Source organism: Homo sapiens, chromosome 3 (genome assembly GCF_000001405.40).
Source record: "Homo sapiens chromosome 3, GRCh38.p14 Primary Assembly".
NCBI classification, from domain to species: Eukaryota; Metazoa; Chordata; class Mammalia; order Primates; family Hominidae; genus Homo; species Homo sapiens.
The window spans coordinates 97,730,318-97,745,055 of record NC_000003.12 but is presented as its reverse complement, the minus strand read 5'-3'; the positions used below and the strand labels follow the sequence as shown (position 1 = coordinate 97,745,055).

The 14,738-nt window shown below is 36.7% G+C and overlaps 1 protein-coding gene and 1 long non-coding RNA gene across 16 annotated transcripts in view; one reads left to right on the top strand and one right to left on the bottom strand.

Annotated features, from left to right (window-relative positions):
- Positions 1 to 14,738, bottom strand: part of EPHA6 (EPH receptor A6) — a 946,939-nt gene that overhangs the window by 16,477 nt on the left and 915,724 nt on the right. For all 14 annotated transcript variants that reach the window (XR_001740110.2, XM_017006211.2, XM_006713592.4 and 11 more), the window contains one exon: positions 8,938 to 9,131. Coding sequence is in view for 13 of the 14 variants with exons in the window: in XM_017006211.2 (XP_016861700.1) it covers positions 8,938 to 9,131 (194 nt within the window). In the remaining variant the exon portion in view is untranslated. The remainder of the gene's footprint in view (positions 1 to 8,937; positions 9,132 to 14,738) is intronic.
- LOC124906256 (uncharacterized) overlaps positions 1 to 14,738 on the top strand; it is a 40,819-nt gene that overhangs the window by 13,162 nt on the left and 12,919 nt on the right. The window lies entirely within an intron of this gene.

The following is a 14,738-nucleotide window of genomic DNA, read 5'->3' as shown; positions in this document are numbered from 1 at the left end:
GGGGATATACCATACTTCACTAACCAAGTTTAAATATCAAAATGACCAGGATATCCTTGTTGCTTGTTAACATAAATAAAACCACATGTTAGAAAATTGAGTGTCCTATTTCAAAACGTGACTCTCCTGTCTTTTAAATACTTGTCAAAGTAGTTCGTTAAAACTGAAGAAAATTAAAAGAATGTATTAAAGTGACTTTCCCTTCATACTCCTATGCCATTCTCGATGCACCGACATAGTCAGATGACTTCTACTTCTTTCTCCTGAGATAACACTGGAATCACTCTTGAAATTTCACAATTTCATATATTTGGTGAGTGGAAATGTAAATTGCTAATTTTATGTCCTTAGTATAAAAGGTCATGGAAGGACATTCTGTATGTTAAATGACTTAAATAGCCTATTTCCCTTGTTGAAAAGCATCTGCTATTTGCTTCCAGAATGCTTTAATACCATAATTCCCTTTCTCTCCACGCATCTTCAGTGACCTAGTTACTCTTTGGCCTTTATACGACTGCCTTGGCAGTTGATTTAGTAAGGTCAGGGTCCCCTCATTGTTCACAGACACTGTGCAATAACTTTTCTTTCACCTTATCTTCTAAGGAAGTTGAAAAATGTTGCTATTTTCTGGCTTCGAGGGCTTGGTACTATTATCCTCACATGAATTCTCTGGAATATTACCTAATAAACAATAAATGCCCTTTCTTATCAAACATGTACAATGATAAATTTAGTCTGCTATTTGCTAAGCATGTAGAAATTTGTGCTATTTGGTGATTAGTGAGTACTGCCCACCTGAGAAATATCTTTACAGCAAAACCTGCAGCTCACATTTTAAAAAATACTTATTGTAGAATAGAAGGTCAAGGATCAACTTTTTCCTCAGAAAAATGAGAATGGGGCTAGAATTAGGATATTTCAGGTAAAATTATGGTTAATTTAGATTATAGAAAGGGCTGGAGTATAGGTATTACAGGTAATGTTACAGTTTAGTAATAAATATAAAATTTCAATACAATAAAATATGTTTAAAAATGAGTAGCTCTGGTAAGAGTCCAGAAGTTTTTACTCTAATGAGCCCTTTGAGTTCACAATAGTACTAGCGTTTTAACTTAGAAATTCCTTAGATAGGTCATCAATATATATCAATACTACCATTAAAAAGCAAGAAGTGTTTTATCCTCAAAGTTTTCCATGTTTTATATTCATCATATAAATATATAATAGTAATAGACATACTAAAATGATTCAAGAAAGGTTATATTTTGAGAAACACTATTGCAAGCTAAGATTCTGTTTTAACATGACACCCTCATAATGCTTAAAGGCTTTTCTTCTCTTGCACTCTAACACAACTTCTTGTTTCCTAGCTAATACATGTATATGTGATTAGCAGAAATGTACAGATAGGGTCCATTTTATTTTACATTGCCTTCATTTCACATATTCATGAATGTATCCCATGTTTCAGCAGTTTTCATATTCAAATGGGTGCATACTATTCTATATGTGGATGCTTAATAATTTGTTAATTCTCTAAAGTTAGACTCTTAGGTTGCTAACAACATTCTTTTAGTAGACATGAGTATGTAGTCTTACAGCATGTTTCTTTTTGTTTCAATTGAATAACTTCTTTGGGAAAAATTCATAAGACAGATTTTTTTAAAAGAATAAGTGAAAACTCCCCGAGGGCAGGAACACATCTCTCTGTTTTTGTGTAGGCACTCACATAATGCTGAAAACATTATAGGAGTTCATTAAATACGTGATGACTCAGACTTGAATATTAAATTATCTACAGAACAGTTTGGTCCATAACATGATGGCTGATTCATGATGAATATTTTCATTTAATTCCAATAAATAAAGAACCTAGAAGAGTAAGTACCTGTTGATATAGTGGTCAACTTATTAAATAATATGCTGTTTATTCAAATTATTCCTTGTATTGCGAAAATGTTTATTCTGTCTTTATAGGTTTCAGAGTGGAGAAAGAGGCAGTGATAGGTGGAGTTGGGTAGCTTAGGGTTAAGGGTTCACCTGCAATTATAACCAGACCTAGAGCAACAACAGCACATTGACTTAATGCAATATGGCTGCTTTTACATGAGTTCCTCATCTCGTGACTCAGGGACTGCACTTCACACTATTCACTTAATCCATGAAATAATTTTGTCATGCATACACTATGTACATACCCTTGGAAGAAGAATTTACATAATCATATATTTTTAAAAAGTCCTGTCTGCAATTAAGCCTAACATTCAATGTGAACACATTAAATTAATGAAATAATTTTGATATTTAAAACATTTTTAAAGTGTAATTTTACTCAAAGGGCTATGAAACCTCAAATGCGTAGACATATACTATATAGATATAGATACAGATATTTTGTGCTTGTGGGTAATATATATTTGTTTCAAACAGTCTAACTCCACAGTGTTAAGGACATTAATTATCTTTTGTCAGTCTTTTATTTTCAGTAAGTCTTCAATTGTTTTTTATTGATATGATTATTTAAACATAATAAGGCTGATAACTAGTGAAAAATATGAAGGAATGAAAATTAAAATTTCAAAGTAAAATTTAAAGTTGTAGATATGTTTGAACATTAAGAGGAACAGATGCAGAGCAGGGATAATACTTATAAAGAATTTCCCATAATTCCCAGTAGTGTACCCAGCACATGGTTCCTACGGCCAGAGTAATAGACCCCTGAACCTTAAGAAAAGCCTGCTTTTGTGAGGAAGTAATCCAGGATCAGAAAATAGGTCTCATGTCACATGCCAACTGCAATTCATTGGCAGTGGTTGTCAAAATGTTGTCATGAGAAGGATGCTAAGGCAGAATCTGGACTCAGCAGGAGAGTGTTGTGATGATTAGTAATATCTGCCATAGTGAGAAAAAGAAGCAAAACGTATTTATGCCAGCACCAGAAAAATTCAATCTACAGAAATGCCTGAGGACGTAATTCTGGAATTATGTGATGTTACTGCCATATTTTCCTCATTTCTCTATATTGTTGCTATTACTACTTTCCTTTTTCAAGTAATGTTCTTCAAGTGGCTGGGCATTGTGGGAGGGTGTTTGGGGGATATATGGACTATGTATTTTCTATTTATTCCCATGACTAAGGTCATATTCTCTACATTCTAGTATTTGCCTACTGGGACATAAAATAACAGGCTGCTCTCCAGTAAGAATTGTTTTTTGAATTTTAATAGACTCCATCTATGAAGTTTGACTAGTCCAGATAAAATCTATCTGGAAATGTGAAAATGTACCCCCTTTTCTTAGAATCATATTTTTGAAGCAGTGTTGTACTAGCAAACATCTTGCCTTTCTGTGTGATTCTATGTTGTATACTGGAAAGAGCAAGGACTTGGAGTCAGTGGCCTTCAAATTCCTGATCTACTCATTATTGCTGTGTACTCTTGGGAAAGTTAGCCTCTTTATGTCTCTGTTTCCGTGTCTAAGGGATGGGAATAATAACAGTGAGGATTAAGTGACATAACCAATAAAAGCCCCTAGTACCACAACTGGCACATAGTAGGCTCTCAACAAATGGCAGTCATAGTTATTGTTGATAATATATATTAAGAGTTTGTATCAGTATTAATATGGATATTGACATTATATTATAAAGATCTTGTGCCAGAAGTTTATGGGAATTTTCTATTTTTCTTTTCTCTTTTTTTTAGATACGGAGTCTCACTCTGTTGCCCAGGCTGGAGTGTAGTGTCATGATCATAGTGCACAGCAGACTTGAAGTCCTGGGCTCAAGTGATCCTCCCACCTTGCTCTCTCGAGTAGCTGGGACCACAGGCATGTGCCACCATGCCTGGCTAATTTTAGTTTTTAATTTTTTGTAGAGATGGGGTCTCACTTTGTTGCTCAGGCTGGTGAACTCCTGGCTTCAAGTGATCCTGCCACCTTGGCCTCTCAAAGGGTCAGGATTACAGGTGTGAGCCACTGAGCCTGGCTGAATTTAGATTTTTCTAATGGGCAAATAGAAGTTTCAAATCTCCTGATCCATCTTTCATATTCTGTCTTCCTTCCACAAAAGTTTGCTTATTATTCAATTTCAACACTGGTTTTGGCCAGCCAGTTATTTCTCTGTCATGAAAAGCATATTTAAAAGTGCTAGCAACAAGAATCAAAAAAAAAAAGTTGTCTATGACTTGGTGTATAGAGATAAACAATTTAGCAAATGCTGATTATGTATTGCCTATGTGGCATTGAACAAAATCTTCTCAAAATAAGTAGAAAATTTTATATCAAAATGTTGGAAGTTATTGTATTCAGAAGATAGCAGTATTGGTGCATAATTCGCTAAATGGAGAGAGATAGTACTATTCAGTCTTACAGCATTATTCACAGTTTTTTAAAGAAGAGGTTCTAAATAATGGTATTGGTATGGGCTTTTCCCTACCTTCATGATTCACATATTACTGGAAACTAAGTGCTTTAAAGTTACAAGATAGACTAATATGTACTACAGAAGCTGGTAGTTGCAGTTGCTAAAGTCTTATAAGATCCCTAATTATGGCCCAGTGGGTAGTAACAATATACAGTACATAAGGTGTCTTGGCCTAGGCAAAGCATTATTTCTGAGGTAGCCAACATCTGGACAACTGCTGCCCGTCCTGGGATGCCACATTTGAGCTGATAGTCAAGAAGCCCCTAATGTGTCAAGTTCTTTGTCAGTGACATGCTGGGGACCTGGAGCAGGGATTAGAAGAAAGCATTATTTTCCCATTACATTGAAACTCTGTCCTAAAGGATACTGACCAGCTGACTACAGCCTGGTGCACTCAGTAGACTTCCATGTGTGGAGTAATCAGGGGCGAGGGTTGAAGACAATGCAGAATAAATGTGTAGGACAATGTGGGTGAGGGTGGGGGAGGTAGGACTGGGTGAAGGGTCACCATGTAGCTATCAAGCTACAAAGTGGGAAAATACTTGGGGTTGGGAGCAGCTACAAGGCTAGTCCTGAGGGTTAGTGGAGAGGGAGAAAAAGGTGTTTTAAAGTGCATGGCCAGGCACTGCTCCAGATGCTGTTCTACACACAACCTTGGCCTTAAGCTGGGTCCTTTCTCCCAAGGGCTGTGCATGACATGACAGCTACAAATAATTATTTGAAAGGCAGTTATAAGGCATTATTGTAAAGTGAATGAATGTGAGGGTAGTTTGAAATTCACATTTATGAAAGGATAACTGCCTATATTAATACAGTGGTTCTGCAAATTAGTTTTTTACTGTTAGTTGGATTTAGGGTTATACTTATAATACTGCCACATTCACTTATATGGTATATCTACACTTTCTTGAGTAGGAGAGAAAGCAAGCATGTTGGGAACTGCACAGAGCTCTGAATATTCCCATGGGAGTGTGTCAGGCACAAGAATATTTGCTGCACCAAATAATGAAAGCCTTCTATGACCAACATGTTTTCAATTTAGGTACTCTGACCTTTGAGAGGAACAATTGCAGATATAGGTTTATGAAATTTCCAATATGTTAGTATAAAATTATTACATTTTCAATATGTTAGTATAAAATTATTAAACTGTGGATTTCATGGCCTTCCTCATCCCTTTGTCACTTTAATTTCTTCCCCTCTTACTACTCTGTCAAGAGAAAGGATAACAGCTTCTCAGGTGAGTCTTGAGAAAAAAGCAATTAGAATGGAATAAAAACCATGGGGACCTAGCAGATGAGAGAGTAATATCAGCATATAAGTGTGAGAGAAATCTGGGGGTTGGGGATGCTACACAAAAGGAAAGTGCAGGAGAATTTAAGAAGAGTTGCAGTGGATTATACACCTGGACTCCTTTTCAGGTTTGAGAGATACAGGAGAAAAGATGGAAATTCTACATATGTCATGTTTCCTTAATCCAGCATCACTCTGGGGCAGACAACTGGGCTCTGCAATTTGGGAGATAGAGAAGCAGTGTCACAGTTTTATGAGCATAAAACAGGCATTCTTTAGGTAATATTGCTATCTTTTAATCTACTGTGTCTCTTCTCCCTAAACAGTCTCAGTTCTCTGGAATCAGGAACAGAGTGGGTGGGTGGTATTGCAAGTAAGAGGGTGGAGCAGGAGAACCCATCCAGGCTGCTGTGAAAATGAGAACGCTGATAAAGGTTCAGGCATGTGAACCTTAGAACACTGATTCTTTTTGTTTCTCAAACAAAAGTATATTAATGGCAAAAGCAGTATCACATATGTCTTTGTCAGAAATGAGGATAGCAAATCAGTCACAAAAACTTCAATTTGGTTTCCCAGAGATCAGACTTTAGAATTGAATCAAGATGCCAAGTTTATATAAAGCACCCAACTTTTGGCCTGCGTGCTGCAGTGCTGTCTCAGAGCTTGCCACTCATGGGGCTCTTCTGCTGGATTGCTGAACAGCCCACTAAATCACAGATCTCTGGCCCTCAGATACACCCTCTCATCTTGACTTGACCTCTGGATCCCTGTTACTTTTTGACACTTTCTCATCTTACATTCTTCATCAATATTTTCCAAATATGATGATCATTCATAATCTTGAAAAAGCAGAGAGGAAATTGTTTTATCTGCTTTTCTTCAAAAAGAAGGTTTTTACATCCTGCTTCTATAGCTATAGCACAGTCAGACAGCTTTGTTGATGGGCACTGATTGTGGATTCTGTTAACTCTATACCACAACAAGGGGCCCAGATTAAAGGATTTCAGTTTATAGATGCCAGTATCCTCTTCCATTAATGCAGACTCACTACTAGCTCTTTCTCCTCAATACTACAGCATGACCAAGTCACCTCAATAACTCATATAAAAACAAAAACCAAGAAACATTTCCTCTAACTACTTTTCTTTCTCATCAGAGACAGGTTTCTTGAAAAAAAAAAATTGGTATTATGTATTGCTCCTTTCTCTGAGCTTATATTCACTCTTCCTCTATTGTAATCTGTCTTATGCAACTGTATTGAAAATGCTGTACCAAAGGTTGTGTATGCACACCTGAATGTCTGCTTGCTGAATCCAGTGGAGACATTTCATGTTTTATTTTACTGCAATTTTGTGAAGGCTTGGACATTATACTCCTTGAAACTCTCTCCTCTTTTGGCTTCTATGATACTGCTCTTCCCTCTTTTCCTGATTACTTGTCTGGCTTCTCTTTTTCAGTTTCCTTTGGGTACTTTTTGTTCAGTTCATGTCTTAAATTAGAGGGTTTCATCCTTTCCACTATTTATATGCATTCTTTATACTCTCTGTGGGCTATCTTAACTACAGTTAAAGCTTCAGCTATAATCTATATGCTGATGATCTTCAAATCTACATCTCTAGTCCAGATCTTTTTACCTGAGGTTCAACCTATAAATATAACTGTCTAGATGTCCCACAGGCATCTGCAACTCAGCATGTTCAAATGGTCTCATTTCTATTCCAAAAACTTGTCCCTCTCCCTCTCTCTGGGGTAATACCATCAGCCAACTTGTATAAGAAAGAAACTTGACAAACATCTTTGATTCTTTTTCTCCTCCCTCCCTCCATATTCAAACAGTGACTAAGATGCATTGGTTTTCCTAATAATAAACGTTATTATTACTTATTATTAGGAAATGATAATAATAATAAAATTCTCTTATCTTCTGACCCCCAACCTCATTCCCATTTCAGAAGTCAAGCCCTGATCTTTTCTAGCTTTAGTTACTGAAAACATAAAACTGTCTCTGTTTCCAGTCTTGTTCCTTGTTTTGCACTCACAGTGTAAATCATCCCTAGAGTGATCTTTCAGAAATGCAAACGTAATCATGCTGTTCCCTTGCTTAAAATCCTTCCATGGCTGTCCATTGTTTTCATGATAAAATCCAAAGTGCCTTTCCTTCCTTTACTGCTTCCTGTGCTGGACTTCTTTAGGGAAGATGGGCCGGAGTAATAGTTTAATCTCTAGCTATTTCATGCTTGGCTTCACTTTATTGAGGCTGCCAATTAGTGATTTAGAGGTGAACTCTTAAGTGCTCTGCTGTGAACTGAGGTCTGTTTCAAATAGTCCTTGAAGAGCCTCGGCCTTACTGTCACTAAAAACCTGCACTGGCTTGAACCTGTGATCTGAAGGTGAATGTCTGAAGAGCCCCAGCCATCCCCTGAGTGAAGAAGGTGAGCTTTGGATATGCACTGGTTATTTCTAAGTCCAACTTTTTCTAAATAAAGAAATATGTTTTTAACTTAATGATATTTAAAATGTAATATTTTCAGACATAGATGATAGTCTTTTTTTTTCTACTCTTCCTCTTATAATTGCTCTTCACCGGGAGGTGAGTAGATCTTCTCAAGTCTACTGACTTTTACAAAATGGTGTATGAGTGCCTCCATTTTCTTGTCTTGTTATCTGTTCTTTTCTGGTTTTAGGAATGGAGAGTAACAACAACTAGATGTGATCATATCAGCAGGAAATATTCTTCCTCTGGGCTGATTCACAAATTGCCCCTGTCTGGCTTGCCATTTCAAATTCAGGAACAGAACATAGAATAGGCAAGAAAATTAAAGGGGCTGCACACACACACACACACACACACACACACACACACACACACTCTCTCTCTCTCTCTCTCTCTCTACTTCTAAAGGTAAGGAAGGATCAATCAATTTTAAAAGGCTATGTAAATATCAAAGACCCAAACAGGAAAAGATAAAAACAAAGTAATTCAGAAAGATTGGAGAGAGAGAAAAGGAAGGGGAATCTGTTATCTTTTTTTAAAAGAGTCCATTTTTACTTTAATGTTAATAATTCTTTTTTTCAGCTGATAAATGAAATATGGTTTCCACAAAGTCAACAACTAGATGGTTATCAAGGCATTTTTTTCCTTTCTACCTGTTATTATTATCTATAGCCTGAAAGAAACCATAATTGTCAAGAAGAAAAAAACTCAACATTATGCCTCTTACACAAGGATGTCCTCCACCAGGGTGTGAAGGGCACTGGGATTTCGGATCAGTTTGTCAAGGAAGCTGACAATGTCAGTAAATTTTGGTCTGTGATTTCTCTCCTTCTGCCAGCAGTGGAGCATCAGCTGGTGTAGAGATGCTGGACAGCCCATGGGAGCTGGAAGTCTGTACCCTTCTTCAATGGACAGAATGACCTAAATGCAAACATATACAGATTACTCTCTTATTTTTAGGCAGTAATACATATGCTATAATTTCTTTTTTTACAAGCAGAAGAAGCCAAAATAATGGTAAGCATGAAAACTACTTGTGAGTACAAGGACCTAAATAAGGATAAATACAAAAGCTGTGAACAAAAATTGCAAGTAGCTCCAAAGCATCTGCTCACCCTACGAGAGGAAAATATGTTTTAAACATGTGCTACCAGTATAGAGGAGGTTAAGTTCCCTACAACCTTAAGAAATAATTTTTTGTGTGACTTAGCTGGAACATCTCAAAACCCAAATAAACATCAGAAAGTCAGCATTGTGATTGATGCATTTAGTGCAAATAACATATAACAAATGTCTTAAGTAAAAATTTTAAGAAAAATTCTGTTGAAGCACTGATTTCTTGAGTCATTTTTTATCCTTTTATGATAATGTCAATGTGTACCCTGTTTCTAACCATCATCCCTTCTTTCTTCATCATTAATTTAGTTTCTATTCTCTTACATTTAGCTTTCCCTTAGTCTGACACTGACCTGATTATGAAGTCATACTCCTATACCTCCTAAGGTCATTTAATTCTTAAAATGCTATCACTGGCTAGCTTAAGGCTATAGGGCAATAGGAGCATTAGCTTGAGTGTCCTCTGAGCTAGTGTGCTTCAGCAGAACTTCTGTGATGACAGAAATGTTCCCTTTCTACAACATGGTAGCACACAGTCACATGTGGTTAGTGAGCACTTGAAATACAGCTACTAGAATGAAGAAACTGAATTTTCAACTTCAGTTACTTTTAATTAATTTAAATTTAAATGTATATAGCCACATGTGTCTAATGGCTACTCTATGGAACAGTGCAGCTCTCGGGAAATGTATCTGTATAAGATCCCAAAGTTAAGAGTAACAAGATAACAACTATTTTTCTTGGTACTTAAGGAAATCACAAGATAAGGCAGGAAATTCATCTGTTTAGTGTATGATCCACCTTCCTAGCAATATGATAATACTGACCCTGAATTTATGTAGCCTAGGTTTTCATAAAATGTTCAAAAGTATCCGTGTGAACATTTATTCTTATCTCCAGGGAAAAGACAAAAGAAAGTGTTTATTGTCACCATTGTTGAGTTTGGAAAACGGAGGAACAGACTAATATTTAAAGACAGGCAAAATTTAACTTCCCCCTCCTCTGTCCCTCTCAAAAATACAGAAATATAAAAATGCAATTTGATTTATTTTAAAATTTACACTATTGGACATGACTAACACATTCTTAATTTATGTTAGAGGCTGTTTGTAAAAAAGGAAGAATATGTCTTCACGAACCTCTTTACTGCTAAGTTTTAGCTTTTTTAGTAATAGGGAATTTCTCATAATCCCATCATTGTCTTTTTGACCAGACCACTTTAGCCTGTCAGGATGCTAGCATTTTTCTATTCACTTTATATTTTATTACTGAACAGGATTTTTCTCATCTGCTTTCTGACTACTTTCACTAGCAACTAGGCTTGGGTTTTAAGATTTTGTTACATGTTTTATTAAGGCAGGATGTGTGTAAAACACTTGCAATGCATTAAAACTATTGTGGATAGCTCAGAGAAGCAACTAAGAGAAATAGCATAGAATTCCATTTTAAAACAACATTGAAATCCCACTCTAGGAGTGCTTGATAGTCAATTTTCCAGTTATCTAATTATAAATGCATGGAATAAAATAGGTGACAAGTGAGGTTATATTCTTAGAAAGAAATAGCTTCCTTTATTATCTACCATGTGCTATGCACTTTGCATATTTTTATTCATTTACTGCTTAAAATAGCTCAATATGGTAGATATTATTATCTCCATTTCTTAAATGAGACAATTTAGACTCAGAGGAATAAGGAAACTTGCCTAAATTCACATAGCTAGTAAGTGGCAGGGTTGAAATTTGAACTAAATTCCTTTTAACTTACAACATTCTCCTCTGACCACTCCCCAGAAATGCTTTTTAGTTCTCATGATAAAACATCTTCCTCTCCAATTTCTTATCACCCAATACAATTTTAGTAGTGATTACCATGCTATCTTTTGTCATGGCATCTGCTATTTGGACTTCAATGTTTTTACTTGGATCCTAAGTTTAATATTCTGGGTAAATAAAAATTATTTATTTCATAGTTTGCACAATATACTCTCAAACTGAACAGAGTCATTTCTTAATGCCTCTGAGTCTTGTGCATGTATGTATGATTGCATCCATAACATTGTACTGTAATTTTTTCATCTGCCTTTCCTCTAAGGCTGTACATACCTGAAAGCAGGAATTATACTTCTAAATTTTCTATGCTTATCGTTTAGTACATTGCCTGACACATTAATAAATATTATTGACCTAAACAAATGCTATTAGAAGAAATTTTTGGATTTGTCTTGATAGAGGAGCAGATTCTTGGAAAACTTAGTGTCTCAACCTATTAAAAATAGATTCAAAGTATAAGCATGATGGCATTTGAAGTCCTCTCTGAAGAAGGTGTTGATTTAAAAACTGCTGCATCAAGCAACCTTGTCCAAAAATGATCTCATAAACTCACTCTGGCTTTCCTGGACAAGGAGCCAGATGAAACTGGAAGCTTGCTCTTCTCTAAGAGGTAGGTACTTGACCAAAACCCAGCTTCTTGTAAGACTTGTGGCTTCTGCCTCCTGTCCACAGGGTTACTATTTTCCATTGGCCCCAGGTCCTTAGCTTCAGACAACTCCTGTAGACAGTTGGCATCCAAATCTAGAATGCTTAGCATTAAGCAGGTTGCTTATGCCTCTTGACAAAGTTGCTCTCATGCATGCCTTGTAAGAGTGATGAGCGGGTAGGTTCCCTTGCCTGGAAATTTTACCCACAATGCATCCAGTAGAGCATGTGGTCCCGGCCTCTCTGTGGGGACAGTGGGAGGATCAGAAGACTCATGACTTTTTCTTGCTGACCTCTGGCTTATAAATTTCCTCAATTCTTTAATTTACAGCCTTGCGAAATCTGTCTTGAGCCAGGGACAGGTGCCAAACACAAAGGGACCCATCTTACAGGAAAAGAGTAGCAATAACAGCAAGAGTGACAGTGATAAAAACAGATTATTAGCAATTATTGAGAGCTCTTGAGTACTTTCAAGGCCAGTTCTAAGCGATGTTCATGTGTTAACTCTTTTAATCTTCACAATAACTTTATGAGGTAGGTATAATTGTTATCTCCATTTTACAGACAAATAATCATAACAAGAGGTTTAACCTGCCCAAGATCACACATCTGAAAATTGTCTTCAAAGGTAGTCAAAGAAGAAACTTATATTTTTTAAGCAATTCACAAAATTGCTTAAAAGATATATGTTTCTAACAGATTTTTAAATTTATTCATCCAAACGGATAGATATTAAACACTTAATATGTACTATTGACCATTCTGTGTTCAAGGGATAACATAACAAGTCAGGTATATCTCTGTCTTTAAGAAATGTATTAACTATTGAGAGTGACCAGGGACTATGAATATGGGAAGTGCCACATAGAACAGGCTGTTATGGGAGCATGTGGGAGAGGTACCTAACCCAGCCTCAGGAAGGCTTCTTCCAGGAGGTGACTGAACCTTAAGGGTTATGTGAAAGGGTGCAGGGCCAAGTGCGTGGGTTGAGGAAAGGAGATGTGATCTAGAATGCAAGTAGATTTAGGTGGCTAGAATAGTCTTCAAAGAGAGGAATGGTGAGTTTTGAGGTTGGGAGGTTACGTAAAATTATGTTTCTTGAGATCACGAATGATTTGGCATGATATAAACTTAGATTTTATGCAAAGGGGAAAAGGATTTTAGAAAGTAAATTATATTAGATTTCCCATTTAGAAAAGCTCACTGTGGCTGCAGTGCGGAGAGTGCACTGGGGAGTCAAAGGATCCAGGAAGGAGCTTTGCAGTGGTCCAGGCCTTAGTGGAGGCAATGGCTGTGGTGTTCAAGAAGTGAACTGTTTTGACAGGACTGGGCTGAGATTAGATGTGCCAAGTAGAGGGAGGAGATAAACAACTTCTAGGATTTTGGCTTCGTCAGCTGGTAAAGAGAGAGGACAGAGGAGAAGAAGCAATTCTCGGGTTGGAGTGATGATGAGTTCAATTTTCTATCAACTTTCTGGTTTCAGATTCAACATATATACCTTTGAGAGTTTATTATGTGTCAAGTTCTGAGCTAGGTGTTTTAACACAGTTTACCTAATTTAGGTCTCAAAATACTTTATTATTTGAGTATGATTATACACATAGGTAAGAAAGCCAAACCTCAAACTGATTAAAAGATTGGGTCAATATCACATAGCAAGTAGTTTCATGAATAATAGATTAATATTATCATCATGGTAGCCTCTCGATCACAGTAATGGTAGAGAAATCTGTCCTGAGTCTTGCACCACATCTTGACGCATTCCCCCAGAATTAGATCTTGAGATCTCTTTGTGTGACTTATATACTCCGTGCTTTCACTGTCACCTATCTGCTTATGGCCTCCATGTCTGCAGCTCTAGCTCAGCTTTCTCTCCAGATTTCTATATTTATCACCTATAGGATATATCACTTCATAAAGGTATCTTGGATTTCTTTTGTGCAAAACTAAACCCGCTCCTCCTTTGGGATTTTTGTCCTTTAGGAAGGGTACTGCCATTCTTCCAGTGATTCAAGTTAGCGGTCAGGGAGTCATCTGGGCCTCTGCCTTTCCTGTTGCTCAAAATTAACTCATCATGCTGATTCTACTGCCTTCATAAAATTTAAATCTTTTTTCATTCTGTCTTCAAATGATTTATTTCCCATTTTGATCACTGCAAAGGCCCCCCATTAGTCTCCTTGCTTCTCCTTTTCCTCCACCAATCATCCCCCACGATACAATGAAAGCAATCCTACTGAAGTGGAACTGTGATCATGTTCCTCCCACATCTGAAATTCTGCAATGGCTCACCATGTGCCTGGCTCTCAGTCCTCACCTTTGCTGTGTTCCGTTTTACCCTTGGCTCCAGCCAATACAAAACATTTGTAGTCTCTTAGCTTGGGTGAACTGAGCTCCTCCAGAGCAGCGACTGTTTCTTTGTTCCACGTGTTCCCAGCATGTAGCACAATGCCTTGTCAAGTCAAAGAATGGAGTGCCAATTGTCAGATATGTGATTTATGAAAGCTGAATTTTCAGAGAAGCTTGAGAAATCCTATATTAACCTTTATCTTCATAAACATTTTCTTTGTGGAAAGTTTTGATTTAGAGGTATATTCTGATTCCCTAATTAAGGACTGACAGGGAGCAGCATATGGGGTGCTTTGTCTAAAGGACTAATTGAGGTTTGTTGTCTTAGGATACGAAGGGGTGATAATTAACTAGAGAGAATTTTTTAACAGTTTGGTTTTATGATATTTGTAGGCTGTCATCCTTTGGAAGAAGAGTTATACAAGGTTATAATGTAAGAAGAAAATTAAAATAATGTGAAAAATATGAAAATGACTGCAATGATAATTTTTATGAAAAGTTAGAAGGAATTACATTCTGTCAGAAATTATTATCTTAAACCTGGCTGCTTATTCTAAATAGATCATACTGGTTTCTTGACATTGACATC